The sequence below is a fragment of the Homo sapiens genome, chromosome 3 (genome assembly GCF_000001405.40).
Source record: "Homo sapiens chromosome 3, GRCh38.p14 Primary Assembly".
Classification (NCBI taxonomy): Eukaryota; Metazoa; Chordata; class Mammalia; order Primates; family Hominidae; genus Homo; species Homo sapiens.
In genome coordinates, this window is record NC_000003.12 from 171316440 (window position 1) to 171340126 (window position 23687).

General features: G+C 39.1%; 1 protein-coding gene across 8 annotated transcripts in view, besides 1 other annotated feature; it reads right to left on the bottom strand.

Annotated features, from left to right (window-relative positions):
• TNIK (TRAF2 and NCK interacting kinase) overlaps window positions 1-23687 on the bottom strand; it is a 401995-nt gene that overhangs the window by 258026 nt on the left and 120282 nt on the right. The window lies entirely within an intron of this gene.
• Window positions 5516-9525: an enhancer, noted in NCBI's record as "VISTA enhancer hs2120". NCBI's record gives its function as "enhancer in: somite[6/18]" and the evidence as "EXISTENCE:transgenic organism evidence [ECO:0001131][PMID:17130149]".

Here is a 23687-nt window from a genome sequence, read left to right on the forward strand (position 1 = left end):
TCGGTAGGATTTTATAAATGAATAAGGAGTAAAATTTATTCCCTGCTGACCAAACAGTATGAGCAAAGGCCTGCAGACATAAAGTATGGTCTTCGGGAGAACAGTTAATAGCCCAGGCAAGCTGGAGCAAAGAGTATCTAAAGGGATTTAAAAACACTTTGGATGAAAAGGGGAAGAAAGGCAGCTCACAGAGGCCTATAAACTAGGCTATTCTGAGTGCAGTAAGAAGCCACTGAGCTTTGTGGAGAAGGGAAATGATTTGCTCCTACCTGTGCTTCAAAAGGAAAAAATATATAGGAATGGTTCATACATTGATCTTTTGTGTCCTCCTGCCTGAATGATAGTTCTTATATTACTATAAGGAGTATTTGCGTATTTTATATTTACCCATGCAACTACTATTTACTTGATTTGCCTAAGGAACTAAGAACTATATACAAGCGATTACATTTTATAATTACACAATTATATGATATATATCATATAAAATATATAATTATATGATATATATCATATAAAATATATAATTATATGATATATATCATATAAAATATATAATTATATGATATATATCATATAAAATATATAATTATATATCTTTTATAATTAAAAGATCGTATCTGAAAAGTACTTAAATAGGATAATATCACAGGTCCTAAATTTCTTCTCCAGAGAATGACCTGGAGTTTAAGGCCCAGGGGAAGATGATTAACTACCAAAGTAATAACAAGGACTTTCACCTGTAACAAAGCAGTTGTTCCGGGTCAGGCCAGGTTCTTTGGTTTAGGTTTGAGCATGGGAAGTCCACAGACCAAGTATATTAACAATCAAGGTGGTGCAAGACTACCATTTGTTGTTCTCTCCAGGAAGCACCAGGGACTCCATCACTCATCACAGGCATCTGGATAGCAGCCAAGCACCATGATAGTGGGATGTGGGAGAGACACTCCAGCTATCCATGGAGGACTGCTCAATGGCTGAAATGCTGCCAAATGGAGAGACATGTACTATGGTCTTGGTGCCACCAAAAGTCTTCGGTAATAATGCAACTATTCTTAGGAAGAAGTATTCAGTCACTCATCTGTAAAGGGATTCATTATATAGAACTGTTAACCAAGAGAAACAACTACCTCTTTGCCCGCTTAGGCAAATGGGAGACTGGGAATCTGGACAGAGCGTGAGTGAACAGAATGAAGATGACAAGAAAGGGAAAGAAAGCTCTTTTCACCCTTACGAACCCTATAAGTTAGGCCCCAGACTTTCTAGTTTACAGTCATCACTTTGTTATTTAGGTTATAAGACAATAGAGGGGTTAGGATTGTGTTTTTCTGTTCACATTGGTATCCAGGTCCTAGCACGTAGTTGTATCAGACAAATGTGTGCCCAAAAGGAGTGAGCTGCTAGGCAGCGTGTTCCTATTCCATGGCACTTTGAGTATGCTTCTTGGAACTTGAGAATATATTGAAATTGTGCCCATGTGTCTACCTTTCCCATGGGACAGTAACCATCCTAAGGAAAGGAAACGTGTGTGCTTATTACTACTATAGTGCTTGACATTTAGAAAGCATCTAATTCTTAAAGCTCAGGGGGCTCAAATAACTTACATGAAGTTAAATAGCTCATAAACAAGAGGCTTAGATTTGTACTAGGTCTGTCTCCACCCCAACCCTATGCTGCTTCTATACCTCAGTGTAGAAAGAAGGAGAGTCATACTATATAGTTTAGCCTGAACCTGGCCTATAGATTGAAATGTCTCTGGAAACAGGTTTGCTGCTGCTTTCCAGCCTTCTAAATCAGACAGTTGCATAATTATTTAACATGAGTGTTTCAATTATTTAATGCCTGATCAAAACACAGGCGTAACATAATTTAAACACAAGCCAAAGCATATACACCACAAAAAAATACTGAGTCCAAGTAATCATTTTCCAAAACATATTAAGGTTTTTATTTACTAATGGTCTTAAATTTCTGTTTAAAGAGAATAAGCTTGGTTGGCCCTAGAAAATCTTGGAGAAATTCAAAGCAAAATTTCTTAAGTTAATTCTTATTGTATACATAATCTAGCTCTTATAAGGAAATATTGTAAACCTGTTTAAACCTATCCTCCTAAAACCCCTAGACATGTTCTTACTCATAAAAGACAGTAGAATAAATCTTCAAAACCTAATTATTTTAAAACTGAATGCAGTTCTTTACATGGTCTATCGATTTTATCCTTTTGCCAAGATATCAAAATTTTTTTAATTGAAAAAAAGCAACTTTGAAAATGCACTAGGCTTAAACCTCCTTTTATAAACTCTCAAATTAACACATCTTAGTTTAAGCACTAATGAAACACATTTCATTCCAGTGGGATTCCAAAGATTAACAATGTATCAACACATATCCCAATGAGTGCAAAAGAAAATTTATCCTAGACTTAGTATTAAAAATTACATGCCGGCCAGCATGGTGGCTCATACCTGTAATCCCAGTGCTTTGAGAGGCTAAGGTGGGAGGATCACTTGAGGCCAGGAGTTCAAAACCAGCCTGGTCAAAATAGCAAGACCCTGTCTACATAAAACTTAAAATACATAAATAAAAAAAATGTAGCTGGGAAAGATGATTGCACCTATAGTCCTATTTACTTGGGACGCTAAAATGGGAAGATTTCTGGAGCCCGGGATTTCGAAGCTGCCGTGAGCTTTGATCCTGCTACTGTACTCTAGCCTGGGTGACAGAGGAAGACTCTGTCTCAAAATAAAATATAAAATAAAATTTAAAATTACATGCAAAAACACCAGAAATGAAATTCTATCTTGAGAAACGCTTTATCCTTTGTACTTTAGATTTTTTCCAGAATGGGCAACTTTCCATAGTTTTATAGAAAATGTTTATATTGTTGGGCAAAAATTCTGCAGTTAAGTTCTAACCACAGTCTGGAAGGAATTTAGCATGAAGACAAGTTAAAATTACAAAGAGTGTTTTTCCCCTTACTGATAAATTAACAAGTTTAACTACTACGGCTAATAAAACATGCCTTAACCATCCTTCCTTGGTATTTTTTAATAGCTTTGGGAAGATTTGGGGGAAAAAAAAAGAGTTTCAGAGCAACATATTCATTGAGGTTAGCAGGTTGGCTAGGAGGTTAGTTGACCGGGTAACTGGCTGACCCGACAGACAAATTTTAAACATTTATTTTGCATAATTGAAGCAATAAAATGGATTTATGAGCAGTTGATTAGAGAATCAAGTTTGTTAAAATTCCTTTATAGCCTTACGTTTCTCAAGGCATTCAACCAAAAGGAACGAGACCTTTTTAAGGTACCAGAAATTAAGAAGGAAAATGCCCTGAAGAGACTGAGGTATTCTCCAAAAGGTCATAACCTTGTTGTATATCAAATCATTCTAATAGATATTCCAATGTTGCCTTCCAGAAGCATTCATCTGAGAAGACAGGATGTCTTAAGTACCTCCTTACAGGAAGGGTCAGTCTCTAAACACTGAAATTTAGAGCATCAGCCCTCACCCAATCTTGGAGGTTAGCTAAAAGCATCTTGAAGGATGACCCCGAAAGCGTAGGAGAGGAGAGTTTAATCTGTGGCTATTCAATATGCACCTGACTGCTCATGCCTGCAAAATAACCCATTTCTGGAGAAAGTTGTATAGCCTCTTCCATTTGCTCTCTTATAATTGATCAAGCCAGAGGAAAGGGGGTCCTCCATGGTTCTTCTGGACCCTTCCACGTTGGCCTATTATATTTCAGCAGTTTACCTCTTCTTTAATTAGCAGGCATAGCTCAAAGAACATAGACATTTTGATTTAAATTTTCTAATTTAGTACCCATGATGATATTCTAATGTGTCTTGCCCTCTGCCTATAAATTGACTAATAAAATTAAATAAATTGTTACTAGGGGCTTCACTAAAATGGTCTACAAATAAAAGATTACATCCAGAAGATAAAAAGAAAATACACAGGAAAATGACCCAGGAAAAAAGCTGACCTGGTCTGTCAATTTGCTCAGGTTGAAAATATGTGGAAAGAAATGTAATTGTGTTTTATGACACTTAAAGGGAAAAAGTACTTCTGATTTCAGTACTATCTAGAGGATAAAGTCACTACTTGATTCTTTGTTTCTCCAAGGTAAGAGTTTCCCATCATCAAGATGTCTTTCTCAAATACATGATTTATGGAAAAAAACAAAAAATGTTCAATGAGCATCTATGGATTTTGATTCAGAAACAAACAAACTTGCTAAATGGTCTTCTAACAAAATACTAATAATCCCATGTGGGCATACTTCACGCAGAGTAATGCCATTTGGCCCTCATATTTCTTAGAAAGCTTTTGCTGCATTCACATGACTTTCCAAAAGATAGGCAAGCAAAGAGCACTGTAAAGAGGCTGTGTCTGAGAGAAAACACATAGTTGGCTATTAATAGTCCCACTCCTGCTGGCTTGCCTAAACACAGGACTGGCTGTATTTCCCCATCCCAGCATAGAGGAACAATGTTACCCTGCCAATCAAATGCAGCATACTCCAACCTTAGGCCTTTGCAACGAAGCAGGGTGTCGGGTGGAAGACCAGTAGCTCAGAGGCTGTGACATCTGTAACTAGGATAACTCCAATTAAAAGTAGGGGGAAAAAATAATTTTTAAAACCTTATATAGTAATGAACTGGAAGGACGGAGAACAACGATTTCTTTAGCAACAGCTGTGCAGACTGATTTCTTTGAAAATCATGCATATACTTTCAAAAGCACTCAATCACAACTGCTGCCCTAACACTGGCAAATCCAAGAAATTCAAGACATGTAATCAAAAATAGATTTTCCCTTAAATTCCAAGGTCAAAGGCAGCATCTGTTGTTTCAGAGAACAAGAAGGACTTTCTTTTGGCTAATTAACTTATTGCGGTTTTCTAGCAGAAAAAAAAAAGTAAACCAAAATTGTCTAAATGTTTCTTCATCGTCTTAGGTCTTAGGTAATGCAAAACAGAAAACTGTATAAAGAGCATAAACATCCATTGTTTTGATATTTGAGTTGCACAGATAAAAGGCAGGCCACGCTGTAATTTTTAAAGCTGACAGGAAAATTCATTTTTATACCAAGTCCCCCTCATGCCATTTGGCTGTTAAATTATTCAAGGAATTCTCTGCTTATAAAGATTAATAATATCAACCCAAGCCATTTCTGAAAAGTACTTTCACCTCGTGTAGGAGACAGATGGACTACAGGAAAACAGCCTATTATGTTACAGGCAGACAAAAAGATTTCAGATTACCAGATTAACACACCAGGCGGGAAGGGAATGATAGAAAGTAGCGAGATATGAAATAACTGACAAATAGAACCAAATATCCCTCAGAGCCACTATTTTAAAAATAAATATAGTTTGGAGCCCATTGTAATTCAATTTTACCTGTTTCACTCCCAAACCCAGCTAATTAGCATAAATGTCAGTTCCAATTTAACCAAAGACTTTGAAAATCTGGTGGAACCTTATTAAAACACATTGGTATCAGGGGACAAAGACAGCACCTGCTTTCAAGGTCTTTTGTGTTTTAGTCAGAAATGTATTCTAAAACTCTGGGTATATGGGCTGAATCCAGAGTTTAGATTGTGGGATTTTATTGTACATTTGCATTATTTTAAATATCAACATCCCTGGAGAAGCTATTTTTACTCCTACAAAACCTAAACACTTCCTTATTTAGCAATGCTCTCATAGAGAAGGGATTTTCCAAAAGCTGTATTTCACTAAGGGTCAATATGAAAAAATTACAATGTCATTAAAATCACAGATTTTTTGTAGATTCACAGAAGCAGGCTCAGTGTTTTCTTTCAATAAATATCTTTTTTTTAGTTCAATACATTACTAATTAATTTTAATTTCACAAATAGTGAAATTATCTGAGCAAGAATCATTCTCATTTAAAATTGTCAAATAAGTCAGAAAAAGATCAATATCTCCCCTGCTTCAAAAATGACACTCCCAATTTTCACAGGTAACCACTGTTAACATTTAGTAAATACCTTTCAGAACCTTTTACAAGCATATATAAAGTACATCATTTTTGTAGTATAATGTGTTTTCTTTAAAAAAATAACTGGGACCATACTGTATTTTCTACAATTTCCTTTGATCATTCCAAATTGCTATGAAAATATGTCACACGTAACTTGAAAACTTGGTCTACTTCTACCATATACGCACATATGCAGGTAGGCAAACATACAGAAAAACACAAAATGGTGTAAAAATAAGCCACTAAGAAAAGGCTCTATGTCCCTCATTTCAGTGCTCAGGAAAGCTATAAGGCTGATAAAATGAAAGTGCCCCCTTTCCTCACCAAAGCTTTGGCTTTGTTATTAGTGTTTTTTTTGTTGTTGTTATTATTGTTGTTTTCTTTTCTTTTTTTTTTTTTTTTTAAGTGCAAGGTTGTGAAACTCTGCCAAGTGGTTCAAATCAGATCCACTACCTGCTTTTGTATAGCCAGTGAGTTAAGAATTTTTTTACACTGGTAAGTGTTTGGGGAGAAAACGTTTTAAAAGAACAGAATTTCATGATATGGGAAAGTTGTATGAAATTTACATTTTGGTGTCCATAAATGAAGTTTAATTGGAACACAGCCATTCTCATTCCTTTGTGTATTGTCTGTGGCAGCTTTTGTGCTACAAGAGCGGTAGTTGATTAGTTGTGACAAAGACCGTATTTCTAGAAAGATTGAAATATCTACTCTCTAGGCCCTTATCAAAAATGTTTGCCAATATCTGTTTTAGCACATGAAATTTATTTTCCTAACATCTTACTTGCAAAGTCTTTCTTCATATTCCATGTTGACACTCAGTGGGTAAAGATGACAGAAGTATGCTGGGGGGCAGGAGTAGAAAATGGTCCCTTCACATAACCCAACACATAGGTAACTTACGTATGCCCCTCCTAGACCTTCAGAAAACTCTATCAGGCTTAAAAATTACTTGTAATGTATTGCCATAAGAGTGATTTGTGGATTACACCGCATGGATTACGTTGCCCTAGAATCTAATTCATTCATCTATCTGGTGAGCACCTACTGTGTCCGAGGTCAGTGTTGGGCACTGACAATTTCGGGGTCAAGAAAATGGACATCATCTCTGCCCTCCAGAACTCCCACCCCAATATGTTCATTACAATTTCGCGAACCTATGAAAGTACATATCAGGGGAACTAAACACAGTCTGAAGGGTGGATGAGATTAGAGAAGATCTGAAGTAATTTCAGTATCATCAGATTGAAAATTCTTTAAAAATAAACAGTGTGAAGATACTGCACAGGAATCCAAGTGAGAATGACAGAAACTGACACCACCTGACTGTCTCTGTCTTCAAACTCTGCTCTTCATAAGCTATGATCTAGAGCAAAGGGAGCATTTTAGCCTCTGATTAAGATGGTATCTCCTTCCAGTTAATGTCAAATGGTTAGTGCTTGGTACCATCAATAGATTGAGAGTTTAAATTTGATTTTCTTAGTGTTTCTAATCCAACTATTATACCCAAAACCCCTCCACAGAAAACAGAAATGAAACTGCCAATCCCTACAGTAGCTCCAGTAAATATCCATTGGCATTTTAAAAAACAAAACGAAAACACCCTGCCCATGCTGCAATGTAATCCCAGTAGCTACTGGCAGTGACAGCTGGTCATTCCCAAGCAGAACGTCACCCAAATAAAATGTGAAAGAGAGGAGGGAGGAAGGGCAAAACCAAGATTTCAGCAATATTCTGCAATCCAGGAACCTATGGAGCATTTGGGTAAAGCTCTAGTAACTTCAAGGCTCTGTGCTTTTAAGGCTTGAATTCTTTTGAGTAACTGAACTCTGTGAGGACATTTAAATTGGGTCAGAGTCTCTCACTCTTACAGGCTTCCTTGGTATCCGATGTTCCTGTTGACTTCATAGAGAACTAAACAAGCATAAAAGGTCTCTAGAGAGAAGCAGCAACTGGAATCTAGGACAGAAAGAACAAAATGACTTTACATGGCTGCTACTAGGTTTCTGTTATTTTCATACAAATGGCTGAGTGAGCCCTGTTGTATCTGACACTATCTGCACTGGTTTCTCATTAGAACCTGAGCTGGCGAGGGTCAGGTGTTCTTGTTCATCTAATTGTTGGTAATTAGATGGGCCACCCTTACCTACACAAAGAACTCTGAGAACTAAAAAGGTTCTATTATTCACCAAATACAAAAAACCATAGAAGAGGACTGCAGGTAGCTAAGCTTTCGAAAATGTCAGTTTTGTTGTTATTGTTGTTGTTTTTTACCCACACATATCCAAATATCATCTAGCTCCAAAAGGAAAGATTTACGTAGTCGTCAGAAAGAGACCAGTTTGTTAAAGAGAAGAACTCAGGGCCGGGCGCGGTGGCTCACGCCTGTAATCCCAGCACTTTGAGAGGCCAAGGCGGGCGGATCACGAGGTCAGGAGATCGAGACCATCCTGGCTAACATGGTGAAACCCCGTCTCTACTAAAAAAAATACAAACAATTAGCTGGGTATGCTGGCGGGTGCCTGTAGTCCCAGCTACTCGGGAGGCTGAGGCAGGAGAATGGCGTGAATCCAGGAGGCGGAGCTTGCAATGAGCTGAGATGGCGCCACTGCACTTCAGCCTGGGCAACAGAGCCAGACTGTCTCAAAATAAATAAATAAATAAATAAATAAAACAAAAGAGAAGAACTCAGATTGGCTGGTGCTGTTTCTAACAGGAAAGCCTTTCTCTCTGCAAACAGGACAGAGACCAGGAAGACAAACACCAACAGAGGAGAAAGGAGAGGACATCCAAAAGTGGAGTGGCAATTATAAAGTAATGATGGTTTTATAAACAGAGACCAAAGGCAAAATGCCTTTGCTGACTAGTGGCTACGTCTAGGGATTAAGAAGCTCTGGACATCTGAGTAGCCTCCAAATATCCCTTTGCCATAGTCACATGAGTTGTGGCTAATAAGAACTAATTAACAAGTAAAACTTCAGGAAACACAATTAAATTTTAGATAAAGTTAGTATGTCCTGTAACTATTATGTAATATGGAACATACTTATAATGAGTATAATTATCTGTTATCTGAAATTCAAATGTTCATTCTTAATTCTAAATTCAACTTAATAAAATATTACATACTTTTAGTTATGGAACACACTTATCCTTAAATGTTATTGTTTATCTGAAATTTAAATTTCATTGAGGGTGTTGTATTTTATCTGGCAACTTTAATTGTGGCCAGTACAAACAGCCAAGGTCAGTAAACTATCAAGAATTTCGGGGAGCCGATAACAGTTTTCTGATATGCCAGAGGACCACTCTGGAAAGGGTTTATTTGGGGATTTGATTCATTAATTGATGTTTGCACAAGGGCTAGGAGGTACATAGTACTCGGGGGAACCTGCTTCTACCTCTTGAATGAAAAAGAGACAAACTTTGCTGACATCAGGGACTTTTGTCAGAAAACAAGTCCCAGAGCCCTTGCAGAATTGTGCCCACTCTTCTCGAGCCTCATCTGCTCTATCCAGAATTCATAACAACTGAGGTCCATAATGATGCCCTTGGGTCTTCGTGGGTTCAAATTTGTTTAGAAGTGTTCACTAAGACAGCATGTTATGTGGCAGGGAAGAGGAGAATTGGAAATGTTTCCAATATCAAGATTATATATTTCAAGCCCCTAAAAATTACCCCACCCAGAACCTTGAATAGAAAAAGAGGAAAGTTACCAAAAGTGATCAGTAAAACCAAGAGGAAAACTACAAAGGCATTGAATCAACCATTGGTTTTAAATGTTTTTAAAATTTGTTAGTGTATTTCTTTGGCTTTATTATGTAGTATATACAAAAATAATTGTTAATCTTTGAATTGCCTTTATCTTTCAAGATACTGATTCTCGTTACAGAGTATTATAGACAGACACACAAAAGCAGCAGCCATTTAACCTAAAACGACAGAAGCGTATATAACAAGTGTCCTGAAAGGCTTATGTGCATTTCCTTCTCCCACAAGAAAAAAAAAGAAAAAAACTCCCACTGAGGTTCCCTAATTACTTAGATTTTGATAAAATGATAATCAGCAGGTAAAATCTATCCCAGTGATTCTCAAACATTGGTATGCATCAGAATCACCTGGTGGGCTGCAAAGTTTTATCTAAAATTTAAATCTAACAGTTTGTCCTGAAACATAGATTGCTGCACCAGAATTTCTAAATCTGTAGGTCTGGGATACAGCCTAACAATTCACTTAAAAAAAAAATTCCAGATAATGCAAATGCTTCTAGTCTGGAAATCATCCTTTGAGAAACACCAGTCTGTGCAATTATAGGTAATAATATTGTTTAATTTATTTGTTCACATTGAGTATTTAGGATTTGTGCTACCATAGGAGCAAACTACCTCTGCCCTTGAGGGTGCTCTTCTTAGGATTCATACCTAGTCTGCTTATATTTTTAGACTGTCCAGAAAGTCCCCAACTCACAAGCACCATACTTAGAATCATCTACTCCTACAGGATGCCTACCCTACTCTGCCCCTGAAAACCCCTGCTGCCAATAATGCAAGAAGCATTGTAAAACTGTTAAATTTTTAGAGAATCTATGGTAAAGAAAAGACAAAAGCTAAGCTATCCCTGGGATGAGACTCCTACTTTAAGATAAAAATGATTTCTGGGACAATTAGGGGGTCTGTTATGCAATTATACCTCAGTGTGACTTAGTTCAACCAAACTGGTTCTTCCTCATGCTAAGCTGAACCAGGGTTGCAGAGAGGTAAATGATCCTGAGTATGAAGTGGCTTGTAGTATCAGGCAGACTCAAGTGGAAAAACACTGGTGACCTGCAAAAAATTGCATCAGGCAGTGCACTATGGGTTACAATTGTAGAGCCAATGCCATGTGGGTGTTCACCAACTATTTCTCTTGCCTCCTGAGCACACAGGAGAGCTACCTTTCCCGGTCCCCTCATGTCTAGGAGGGACCAAGGGACTGGTTCTACCCAATAGCCTATGGGCTGGAGGGCTGGACAGTGCTATGCCTGGCCGCTAAAACACCCCACAAAGATGGATACGCTCTCTCTTCAGCTGACTCTGGAGGCAACTCTGAGGAGGCCCTAGGGGACACAGTGTGACTGGACAAAAGTTACCAGGATGCCCGTGGCATTGCCTGGAGGAAAGCTGCTCATCCAGAACAGTAGCTCTGGAGTCTGCAGGAGAAAGCCACAGACCACAAAATATTAAACCACTGAGTTTTGGTGGGCGGGGTGGGAGCAAAGGGGGGTGTGTAATGTGTTACCGCAGCATAGCCTAGCCTTCCTCAACTAATATAGCTGCATAAAGGAAGGTGTAACGGGTGCCCCTTCATCATCTTAGCCAGACCAAACTGTTGCTCCACTCCATTGTTCTATATTACATAGAGCCAATATCAACTTTATACCAGATCTGTGGCTCCCAAACCTGGCTCATAAAAAAAAAAAAAAAAAAAAAAAAAAAAAAATCACTTGTTTGGAAAAAGAACCCTGAACCCTATTTCAGACCTACTGAATCAGAATCTCCAAGACTCAGGCCAGGCCACTTCTTAGACAAACTGCATGTTATAAACTAAATGTCTGTGTCTGCACCCCAAAATTCTTACATTGAAATCCTAATTCCCAACCTGTTGGTATTAGGAGATGCGGCCTTTGGGAGATGATTAGGTCACAAAGGCTCTGCCCTCATAGGATTAGTGCACTTATAAAATAGGTCCCAGAGAAGCCATTACCCTTGTGAGGACACAGTGAGAAGACTATGAATCGGATCATCTATGAACCAGGAGGCAGACCCTTACCAGACACTGAATCTGCTGGAGGCTTGATCTTGGACTCACCAGGCTCCAGACCTGTGGCAAGTAAGGGTTTGTTATTCAAACCACCCAGTTCATGATATTTTTGTTGCAGCAGCCCAGATGACTGGGACACTGCAGATTCGCCTGCGTGGGGCTACCATGAAAAGTCCCTTTCAAAGGACCAGTTTGCCCCTATCCAGAGACTGGGTGATATTTCTGCAGACACACAGTTTAGGTTATTGTGGTAGGTTTACTAATCCTTACCAAATTATTTTAAAGTGAGGATTTTAAATTATGTTTTGGCAGGAATCAAATATTCAAGTGTAATGGGTTTAATAAATTTAAAAGCTTCTCTTTTAAGATGACGCAATAATTGGCATAAAGCCGAATGCCTGAAATACCTACCAGTGAGAAGGATTTAAATGTTCAATTAAAATGATTTGAGATTTATTGCTTGTGAGGAAGATATTTAAATATGTAAATGAAACTGGCTCCCCACCCTCTCCAGTGTGGGGGTGGATTCTGCCTGCCTTTCCTCATGCCCTCTAAGGGAGTCTCTCTGCCCCTTGAGGACAAAGGCATTCAAATGACAGAGCTGGTGGCTGTGGCAGGAAGTCACTAAGGAAACAATGGAGGGCGCTGTGGAGATGGCCACTTCCTTCTTCCTCAAACACAGCAACCCCACCCACCTCAGGGCCTTTGTACTTGTTATTTCTGTAATCTTCATCCAGATGTCTGAGAGACCTGCTCCTGCACTTTCCTTATGAAATTTCTGCTCAAATTTCATACTATTCTTGATGCCTTCTCTGAAGCAAGAATCCCTTGCTATATACACACACACACATACACACACTCCTTACACCCTATTTTATTTTTCTCTGTAGTAGCTTCACTATCTGACACGTTAACTATTACTTATTTGTGTATTTGCTGTTTCCTATACTCGTTCATAATGCCTGGTCCCTACTAAGTGCTCAAATAAATGTTATTATCATTTTAAAAAATTATTTAATACCATGGTAAGTATTTTTCATTGTCTCATGAGGCAATTAAGATTTGGCAATATTACTTCAGTTTAATTATTTCCCACTAATATATATCAAAAATATATATTTTTAAATCAAAAGAATGTAATTGAAAACAGCAGGGCCTCCAGATAGAGAAATGTGTCCAAACTGCAGATCTTTTCTAATGAGCTGTGTGTCCTTGGGTCATTTACCTTAAACTCTGTGAGCTTCAGTTCCCTCACATATAAAATGAGCATAAAAATTCCAGCTTTCAGGGTTGTTGTGAAAATGATACATGAAAAAATTAAATCCCTAAGCACATAGTGTGCCCCACTGATATTCTAAAGAAGTAGATGGCAAAATAAGGAAAATAAGAGAATAAATGCCTTTTTATTTATGCCAGTCATTAGCTAACAATCAACCACTGTGAATGAAAAAAGCCTAGTAAAGTCAATAAAATGTGAAGTGAAGCCTAATTCATTTTTACAATATGACCTACTTTCTGCTATTTTTGATTCACATGAACAACTGAAGTTGCAAGGAGCTGATCCTGCAAAGACTTCATTAAAAGCATATTCTTTTCTTTTCTTTATGGCTTCCAGCTTTGAGGGATGCGAAAACAGATTTTTCACTTACAAGCCTCCTTTGAAAGAACCCTGGCACTAATCTTACAGTACGACTTTGAAAATCTGTGCAATGTCAAAGGTTGTCACAGATGGGGGAAAGGAGGGAGGACCTGAAGGAAAGCGGTTTTTAATTCTACTCAATTATGCAACTTCCATTAGGCAGTTCTGACTGTCCTAAATAGATTATTCAGATCTTAACATTTGAAGGTTTGCAAAAATAAAATTCTGAATGATCTTCTTCCTTCGATAGACCTAGGTATAGGCTCTGTGGAGAAGGCCTAGCTGTGCTGGTTTTTCATCTGGGAAATGCGCTTATTAGATACTGACCCCAAATCAGTCAAGTGTCATTGAGTCTTAGACAGCAAAATAGCTGAAAGAAAAAAAATATTTTCGGCTGCTTTGGAATACCTTTGTAAAGGCCATTGTCTTTTCTTTCATGGACTACAGTATTCTTTAACCAACTTAATCTACCTGCTAACAAAGATAGAAGAAGGAAGGCTTATTTTCCCATAAGGCTAAACAAAGATTAATGATAGCCAACCAAATTGTCTCTTAATTTTCTTTTCTTCTCCCTCTCCAGCTGGCCTTCTAGAGATAGAGTGTATAGATTTTTCTCTTAGTTAAGAACATTTACTTAGAAAGCAGCAGAATACTAATAACAAAAGAGTAGGGGGTTGTTTTGCCCTACACATCACAGGAATTCTGCCTTGTAAGCTGGAGGAGGTATAGGGGCATTTTATTGTTGGGGGATTCTTAACCAGGCAGATGGGGAACCTAGCGGCCAAAAACCTTCTTGGGTGAATCTTACATATGATCCTTCTGTTCCCACTATATCCTCCAAACCCAACCCCAATGAGAACCACTACTCTGCCCTTCAGACCCTGACCTACCTTTCGAATTATGATTGTAGCAAACCAATTTGTCATGCCATGTTAATCTATTCTTACCCTACGACCCCGAATTAAAACACTCCCAGGGGCCCCACCCAAAGAAGAGTAAATGCCAAGTGAGTGGATGGAACAGGTCCGTTTGACCTCATTTCAAAATATAGGGGAAAAAGACATGGATGGTCCTCCCACAAAATAACACCACCACGAGTTATAGAGGTGCCCATTTCGCTTCTGTGACAAAATTTTCAAATTGAACAATCTAAGCCTTTGAAATCCTCACATGAAAACAAGATTTTGTGATGCTCTGAAACAGCAGCACATGTTCTGATCCCTTGCTGGGTGGGAAGCACTGGGGGTGGTTAATGAGTTCTCACACCCTCTGGTGAACCAGCTCCTTTCATTTCTGAGTGAAGAAAGGGGCCCTGACAGTGCGCTACTCCATAAATTCAAAAACAGGCCACTTTCTACCCCAGATCCACAGCCACTCCCTGGCCCTTTCCTAAAGGGTTCCCAATTAGGAATATGGCAAAGAGAGCCCTGTAAATACCAGTTGCTGTCATTTCTTAATATTTTCTGTGATGGCTTGACTTGCTAAAATGACAAGGTGTATTATTTTTAGCTTCCAGTTTTGGCGAGTTGATCAGTCAAAACAAAGTATTAAAATAGCATCTACTTGGTAAATTCAATTTCAGATGACTGCATCTAAAACTCATATCCATTATAGACTCATATAAAACTGACTTATATGGCTAAGGAAGTCTGAGAAGGAATAACTAAATATATAGCTCAAGGAGGAAAGATGAATAACTTCTTTGGTCTCAAATACAAGTCTATTTTGGCATCAAATCCAAAAGCAAGCCTATGATAAGCAATGGATTCATTTAAATCACTTTAGGACAAATGATTTAAAGAGGGTTTTCTAACGCTCCAGTGTTCCATCCAGGATGTGTGAAATGCATGAGATCTCAGTTAAATGTAGCATTTTTAATAAATATAGTCTAAGTCACACGGGCCTTTTTGATAATGTAATTTTTTTCTTTGAACGCCTCTTTTACAATATACCTAAATGACTATGAAAAGCTATCTCGTGATAATATATGCTAGAAAACCCCATTTTATATTATTTTTAAAGTAACTTATTCTAATTTTTAAAAGTAATAAAAGTGTAGGGGAATCTGGATAGGTAACTGCAACTCACTACTATCTTTGCAACTTTTGTATTTAATTTAATGTAAATTAATCTAAAATTAAAAGTTATTTTTTTAAAAAGCAATATTTGTTTTTACTGTAGACTATTTGGAAAAGTATAGAGAAGACGGAAAATCACCTATAAAAATAGGCATACCTATATCTAACTGTGTGTATATGAGTAATACATCCTATCATCTTTTGATTATATGGTATTTCCCCTACCATTAAAAATTCTTCATAAACTTTGTTTTAAAAGGCCACTTATCATTACATCATATAGCTAGCCCAAAATTTGTTTAATCATTTTCCTACGTGGAACATTTAACTTGTTTACTGTTTTTGGCTATTGGAATTAGTTTTACAAACAATATAATTGTGCATAAAGCCTTTTCATATTTCTCATTATTTCCTCAGAGATGGATGAACATTTTTAGGCATAGCCAAACTTCTTTCCAGAAAATTAGCCTTTTCTTAAAGAGCATGCATCACCCAACCTCAGCTCGCAGTGCCACCATTTATGACAACCTTCCAAAATGGCCGGAACGCTGCCAGCTTCACACACCACGGCACTTCCTGGGAAGAACCTCAGGACAGAATATCTGCTGTTGAGTCAGGGCTGCTATAGCCAGAGAAAGGTGTGAGATGTGTAACTGTCTCCAGGTAATCCTTCTGCCAGCCAACTACCTCCTGATTCAGCTATAACCTGAAGGCCAGGTGCATTCACCCAAACAAAACCCACAGAAATCAGAGGAAGGGTGACTGAGGATAAGAAAGGCTAGACACATAAAAGAATGATGTGAAATTTAGCTTTTACCAAGAACTGAAGTGTTATATTTGGCCGGAGATTATTCCCAGCAAAGGAAACACAAAGATGCTTGGGTATTATCTATACTAAAACTGGGAAAACCTCAGCTGACCCTATAAGTTACTTGAAAATTTGGGGACATTTTTGTCAGAACGACAGAAAAGCAATATTGGATGGGACTAGGGGGTGGAAATGCTAGAAATCTGTGATATACAGTGAGTGCCACAAAAAGAAAAATTATTTTGCCCCAAATGCCAAAAGCACAGTGATGTTCTTTGATGTTACAGCCACAACTCTTAGGGAAGAGGCCCCAGTTGATGGCCTTCGAACTATATTCTGCTTGAAAATATTTTGTTTGATCCTAATAGTTGGTGTTGGGGGTGGGAGGGAGTGTGTGTGTGTGTCTCTTTTTAATTTTAAATATGAATATTTTGGAACTTTTACATAAAGTCTAGCTTTTCTAAAAAAAAGAAGAAGAATCTAAGATCTGACAACAGGCCGGGCGCAGTGGTTCACACCTATAATCCCAGCACTTTGGTAGGCTGAGGTGGGCAGATCACCTGAGGTTAGGAGTTCAAGACCAGCCTGGCCAACATGATGAAACCCCGTCTCTACTAAAAAGTACAAAAATTAGCCGGACGTGGTGGCAGCCACCTGTAATCCCAGCTACTCAGGAGGCTGAGGCAGAAGAATCGCTTGAACCTGGGAGGCAGAGGTTGCAGGGAGGCAGAGGTTGCAGCGAGCCAAGATCGCACCACTGCACTCCAACCTGGGCGAAACAGAGACTCAGATGTCTCAAAAAGAAAGAAAAAAAAAAAAAAAAAAAACCTACAACACTGGATCCCCATTCCCACGGCAATAATTGGAAAATGAGGAGTGGCTGTCCCCTTTGGGCTGAGCAAACTGGCCATTTCACTCATGAGAATTACATGCCTGGCCCTCTGGCCATCAGTTTGCAACCCCTATCCTACTACAAGGTCTTTCAAAGATTTTAGCAAGGCCCCAGATAGTAACCTTTCCCTTTCCCCATCGTGCTCAGCACTCAGTTACTCGACAGATACAGCACAGGGAGCGCCTCCCGCCAAAGGCAGTTTTTTTCTCCAACTGCGTATTTGTCTTTTAATCATCATTTCCTTTCCTTCCCTGGCCAACCACACTGGACAACCCAGGAGCCTGTTCCAGGAGCTGAGAGCAAGTCTTCAAGTACCAGTGCCTTGTTTCTTCACCAGCTCTCCCACCACTGTTATCATCACCCCTCCTAAACCACCTCCCACCAACAAAAGTATCTGACTGAGGGGTGGGAAGTGTCAAGTACAGCACTGGACAGTGGGTGGGGCTGATCACAATGACTGTGCACCAGACACCAGGGTGCTTGTCCTAGAACAAATTAAAATGGAAAGAAGGGTTTTAAGAACTGGAAGAATAATGTGAGATTTGGCTTTTAGGAAAATCACCCAAGTAGCCTGCCTGTTTGCCCTTGCTCTCTCTCGCTCTCTCCTCTCTGTTCACACACACATACACAATCCTCTGCACTGTGACCGTAGAAACTGGAAGGCGCCTTCCTGAGGATATGGAGTGAGTGGAACAGAATGTTGGAAAAGATGCCTGGGAGATGGAGGAGAATGACAGAGAAGAGAGGGCAGCACAGAAAGCATCTTCCGGGAGGACTGGTGGCCATCAGAGACCTGCGAGGACCTAGAGCTGATTCATGGCCACATTAGGGCATCCAGCAATGGCTTGCCCTGCCAGGCTCTCAAAAACCTGGCACTCAGGAGCAGCATGGAGGAGCCTTCTAAAAATAGTCTAGAATCAAGCTACCTTCTGGCTCATTCCGTTTTCCTTCTTTTAAAGATTAACTAACCTCAGGCTGTGCCAAAAAAGACTAGAGGGGGAGAAAAAAGACTCATGAAGTCTTGAACAGGTGCTACTGTTTATTCACCCAAGTCTGACATCACCACATTGTTTCTAGGGACTACAGCAAGTTTCTGGGCTTCAAACACTCCAGTAATTTCCTTAGGGAAAAGCAGAGTATGAAAGGAAGGTAGCTTGTATTAAATTTAAAAACTTGAATCCTGTATAGTTGATCTTTATAAGTTTCTTTTTTTTTTTTTTACCATAAACTGTGCCAATCCCTTTGATGACAGAATCTATTATTCTACTAGCGCTTACAACAGATCACTGTCATTTGAAGTGACTTTCAGAGTCTTCAGAGATACAAATAAACAATGCACCCTTCCTTCCCCAACTGCCAAAAAAAAAAAAAAAAAATTGTCTCCTCCTGAAAACCAATCACTAGCAACCTTCTATTAGCTTGGAGAATCTTTTTAATGCAAAAGGGTCTGGAACTAAAAGTGATCAGGGCAAGGATCTCATTTTATTCATATTTCTATCCCCAGGGATAAGCACAGTGCCTGGTAGACTGTTTGCGTGCAAGAAAATTTTGTTGAAAGGCTGGACAAATAAAAGAAAATGCATAGGTTGTTTATTAATTTAGTAATGCAATTTCCAAATTTTGTTTTTTCTTGTTGAGGTATAATCTATGTTAAAATTCACCCATCTTAAATGTACAGTTTGATGAATTTTAACAAATGTATACAGTCACATAACCACCACAATTAATCCTAAAAAGTTCTCTCATGCCCCTTTGTAGTCACATCACCTCCCCATAATCCTAGTTCATTGATCTGTTCTCCATCCCTATAGTTTTGCCTTTTCTGAAATGTGATATTAATGGGATCACAGTACACAGCCTTTTGAGGCTGGCTTCTTTCACTTAGCATAACAATTTTGGGATTCATTCATGCTGTTGCATGTATCAGTAGCTCATTCATTTTTATTGTTTAGTCGTATTCTGCTATATGGATGTGGCAAGATTTGTTTTTCCATTTTCCATTTGATAAGTATGTAGATCATTTCCCACTTTTGGCTATTATGACTAAAGCTCCTATGACCATTCAATACAGATCTTGGTACTGGCGTGTGTTTTATTTCTCCTGGGTAAATACCTGCAAGTAGATTTGCCAGGTCATCTGGTAGGTGTATAAATAACCATAAGAAACTATGAAAGTGCTTTCTAAAGTGGCACTTTAGAATGTATCATTTTACATTCCTATCAGCAAGGTATGAAAGTTCCGGTTGCTTCATAACATTGGCAACAATTGATATTGTCAGTCTTTTTAACTTTAGTCATACAGTGCGTAGTGTATCTCGTTGCAATTTTAATTTGCATTTGCCTGATGACCGATGTTAAGTATCTTTACATATTCATACAGCCCCTTTACAGGCCAATCAGATAGCTTCTTTGGTGAACTGAGTATCTAGTAATGGAAATAAAATCTACATTACTCATTTAAATTTCTCCAACATATTTTGACTGATATCCGTTAATAACCTTGTCAAAACTAACAAAATGGGTTTTTGTTTTCCTCCATTTTCCACGGCAAATTTCCTAAGATGAATTACACACTTCCTTTACTCCTTAAAGTTAACCATTTTCACACTAACTTAAGGCCTTTTGTTCCAAATATCCTTGATACTGTGCTGTAACAACTGAGCACACTCTTAACCTCCTATCAGTTGACTGTGTGCCTTTCTTTTAAAAATTAGGTCTGTGTTTCATTTTCAGTGTTTTTGTCTCCCTCCTCTCTCTCAGGGTCTACTATATGCTGTTATCTCTGTGCCACTGTAACCTGCTGTATGACCACATAAGTCAAGCTTCTGTGACAATTTTTTAAAAATAAGCATAAACAGCTCTGAGGAAAGGCCTAACAGTCTAAGAACAAAGACCATAGTCCCCTCGGAGGGACCTGATGACATACATTTTATGGCTTATTTCCAGATCATGGCTCTGCTTGAGAGGTAGGCAAAGTCCATTAATAAGTGTCCTTGGGATCAGTGAGAAAAATCTCCATCAGCATTTCCAGGTGCACTAGAAAGTTTTGTGGGTACTTACCAACCAACAGTGATAGATCCCTGAAGGGGCCAGTTTTTCCAGTTCCAATTGTGATACCAAATAAATATCATGTTTAAGGTCAGCAAAGTGAGGTAGAAGTAGGGTTACTGCTCTAATGCAGTGCTCTAAAGTAAGACCTCAACTTTCCTTTTTGTTCATTTTAACAGCACAGCCCTTTGGCAGGGAGCTTCATGCTCCCTGGAATCCTAGTGGGGATGAGAAACACAAGAGCTCCTTTCCCTGTGGAAGCCTCTGGATTCTGACACAGCTTCACCTCTTCCCCACAGCCTCACCTCTCTAAGCCAGTTTCATGACTATAAAATGAGGATAATGAAGTACCTACTGCCCACCCCAGAGCACTTTGTGCCAACCAAACATGAAAGAGAACGTAAAAGTGTGCTGTGCACTAACAGGACTCCAGGAGATCAGCATTATCACAGCTCAAAGGCAAGCCTGGCCACCAGGCATCCATGGCAATCTCATGCCAGGCAGGAAGTTCCTATGAAGAAAAACAAAGACACGAATACCCCTTAGCTGGAAGGAGAGAAGGTAAGAGCCTCCAAGTGAGAATGGAGTGATAGTCTGTGCTTCCTGGACAGAGGAAGTCGCAAGAGGAACGGAAAGCAGGTTTTGAACAGGGAGAAAGCAAAAGACCTCAGATAAGCAAAGATGAGGAAGGGACATGAGGTCCAAACGTTGAATAAAGAAACAGTAATACTGGGCACTGTGGGACGCCTTTGCATGTAAATACGGTTTAAGCCTGGGCATCCTATTTGGGCGGATATAGTTACAATGCCATATTTCATTCTTGAGGTTGGTCAGCAAGACTTTCCATGAAACTTCTGCTCCCTTATTCCCACTTACTGTTCCTTATCCATAACGATAGATGTGTATTACATATACTTCTTACCTGCTGACTGGATCTTCTGTGATCACACCTTTCCTAATAGAATATTTATCCAGGCCTGAGTTCCATAGTCAAAGAAGGTAGAAGATAATCTGCTTAAATGAAGTGCCTGGCCATTTCATTCACTTCTAGAAATATTTTCTCAAGATTACCATGCAAGCAACAGATTTTCAGGAGGCAGAAAAGATTTCTAGACTTTGCCCAGAGGGAGAACTACAAATGCCCTCAGGATAAATAGTGCTCCAATGAGCAGAAGCCCAAACAAAATAGGAAACTGATAGAGAACCCTAGCTCTAGATCTTTTTGTCTTATACCATCCTAGCATAAGCAGAAGGGAGAGAAGCTGTTCTAACCACGATTGAAGAATGAAGCTATTTAGCAGCTTAATCGAAACTACGTACCTTTGAATCTCTTAATTTTACCAGGCTCTTCTACGTGGACCTATATTTCGGTAATTATAATGGTAATGTGGATTGCGGGAAGATATCTTCCTCTTATGGCTCCCCACTCCAAGTCTTTGATTTCCAATCAACCAACAATTTTTTTAAGATTATTTATGTTAATCCTTCCACTCTTCATTGCCTCATTTCTAAACTGGAGAAGCCCTCATTTCAGTAACAACAACAACAAAAGTGACATGTATAGGGGTGTGTGTATATATGAAATCCCACCATCCTTATGAAAGTAATTTTTCCCAGTTTTCTAGGTTCATGACGTTAAGAAAGCTGAACCTCACCAGAGAATGTGTAATATGTTAATATCCCCCAAAAGCCAAACATTAAACATTACTTTTATTAGCTAAAATTTATTGAATGCTTACTATGTGTGCCAAGAAATGTGCTTAACTCTTTTTTATTATTTTTTCTGTTGGAGACAATGTCTCGCTCTATTGCCCAGGCTGGAGTACAGTGGCATGATCTCAGCTCACTGCAACCTCTGCTTCCTAGGTTCAAGTGATTCTCGTGCCTCAGCCTCCCAAGTCACTGGGACTACAGGCATGTACCACCATGCTCAGCTAAGTTGTTTTTTTTTTTTTTTTTGTATTTTTAGTAGAGACAGGATTTCATCATGTTGCCCAAGGGTCTCAAACTCCTGACCCCAGGGAATTCACTTGCCTTGGCCTCCCAAAGTGCCGGGATTACAGGTATCAACCACCATGCCCGGCCCTAAGTGTGCTTATCTCTTTATAGGAATTGCCTAACTACCGTACAGTGCAGAAGGTACTATTATTAGCCCAATTTACAGGTGAGGAAACTGAAGACAGAGAATGGAAGAGCTAACGTTTGAATCTAGGACTGTCTGACTCTGCCCAAGCTCATAATGACTATGCTACATCAATTAGTATTATTTTCTGTCTCCCATGCCTTCCCCATGATGTTCGTCTTTCTTTTCTCCTAAATTCATGCATCCCTTTAACAAACCTTTATTAACAACCTAATATAATACATGCTAGTCAGAGGGCTAAATACACATTTCTGTTTTCTCCATTTCACTCATTGGCACTAAGTTACCTCCCATCTCCTACAACCAGGTGTAAAAATTCAGGTGTCAGCCCTGAACCTGCCATGTGTGGGCTGAGGCAAATCTTCACTGTTTGGACTAATATGGCCTTAGGCCAGAAAGATGCACTTGTAGGCTCTACTCTGAGACTTGATAAGTCATCCTTGCCATGAGTGTGGCTCTAGCCATGTGTCCACTCTGATATTCAGCTCAGTTCATTAGAGAAGCCAGTGCTGATCACTGGCCTCTGCCTTGTTCCCTTTACCTGAGTCTATCTTGAATATACTCAATATCCAGTTCCTCTAGAACCAGAATGCCACTTCGCTTTTGTCAGTCCCCATCCATGGAAGCTTTTCGTCATTAGAATATGCATTCCATGAAGGCAGAGATCTGCGTCTGTTTGTGGAAGTATCCCAAGCTCCCAGCACAGTGCTGGTACACAGTAGCCCCTCAATGCTTGTGGGTTGAACAGACCGAGGTCCTTCAGCTGAATCCCAGGCTGGCTGATGGCCAGGCTGCTTCTCACTAGACTTCCTCCCTCTTTTCTCAGTCTTAAGACATCTAAGCAGACTTCTTGGGAAACTCCACAAGCTCTCTGGATGTCCTGATGCCAAGTGCTACCAGAATCCGGTCTGTTGCTGTAATTTTCAGATTGTGTGCCTTGGCTGCCAGACGAGGCCTTCTGGCAGCACCTGCAAGGTGTGTTTGTTGGCATACACCAGCTCATGGGCCGGTTTCCAGCCCCTCCCAGTCTGCCTCTGCCTTATTAGGCTGTGTTAATTGGTTTGAGCCTAGTTATATCTAGAAATAGTGTCCATATAATTATATACACAAATTATGAAAAATTCATAGAGATTTATGTTCAAAGATATAACAGCAAGAAATTGGAATGCATGATAAAACTGTCATGTAAAGGACAGTAGATACATACAATCTACTTCGATTCTACCATTAAAATATTATAAAGAATATTTGATGACATGAAAAAAA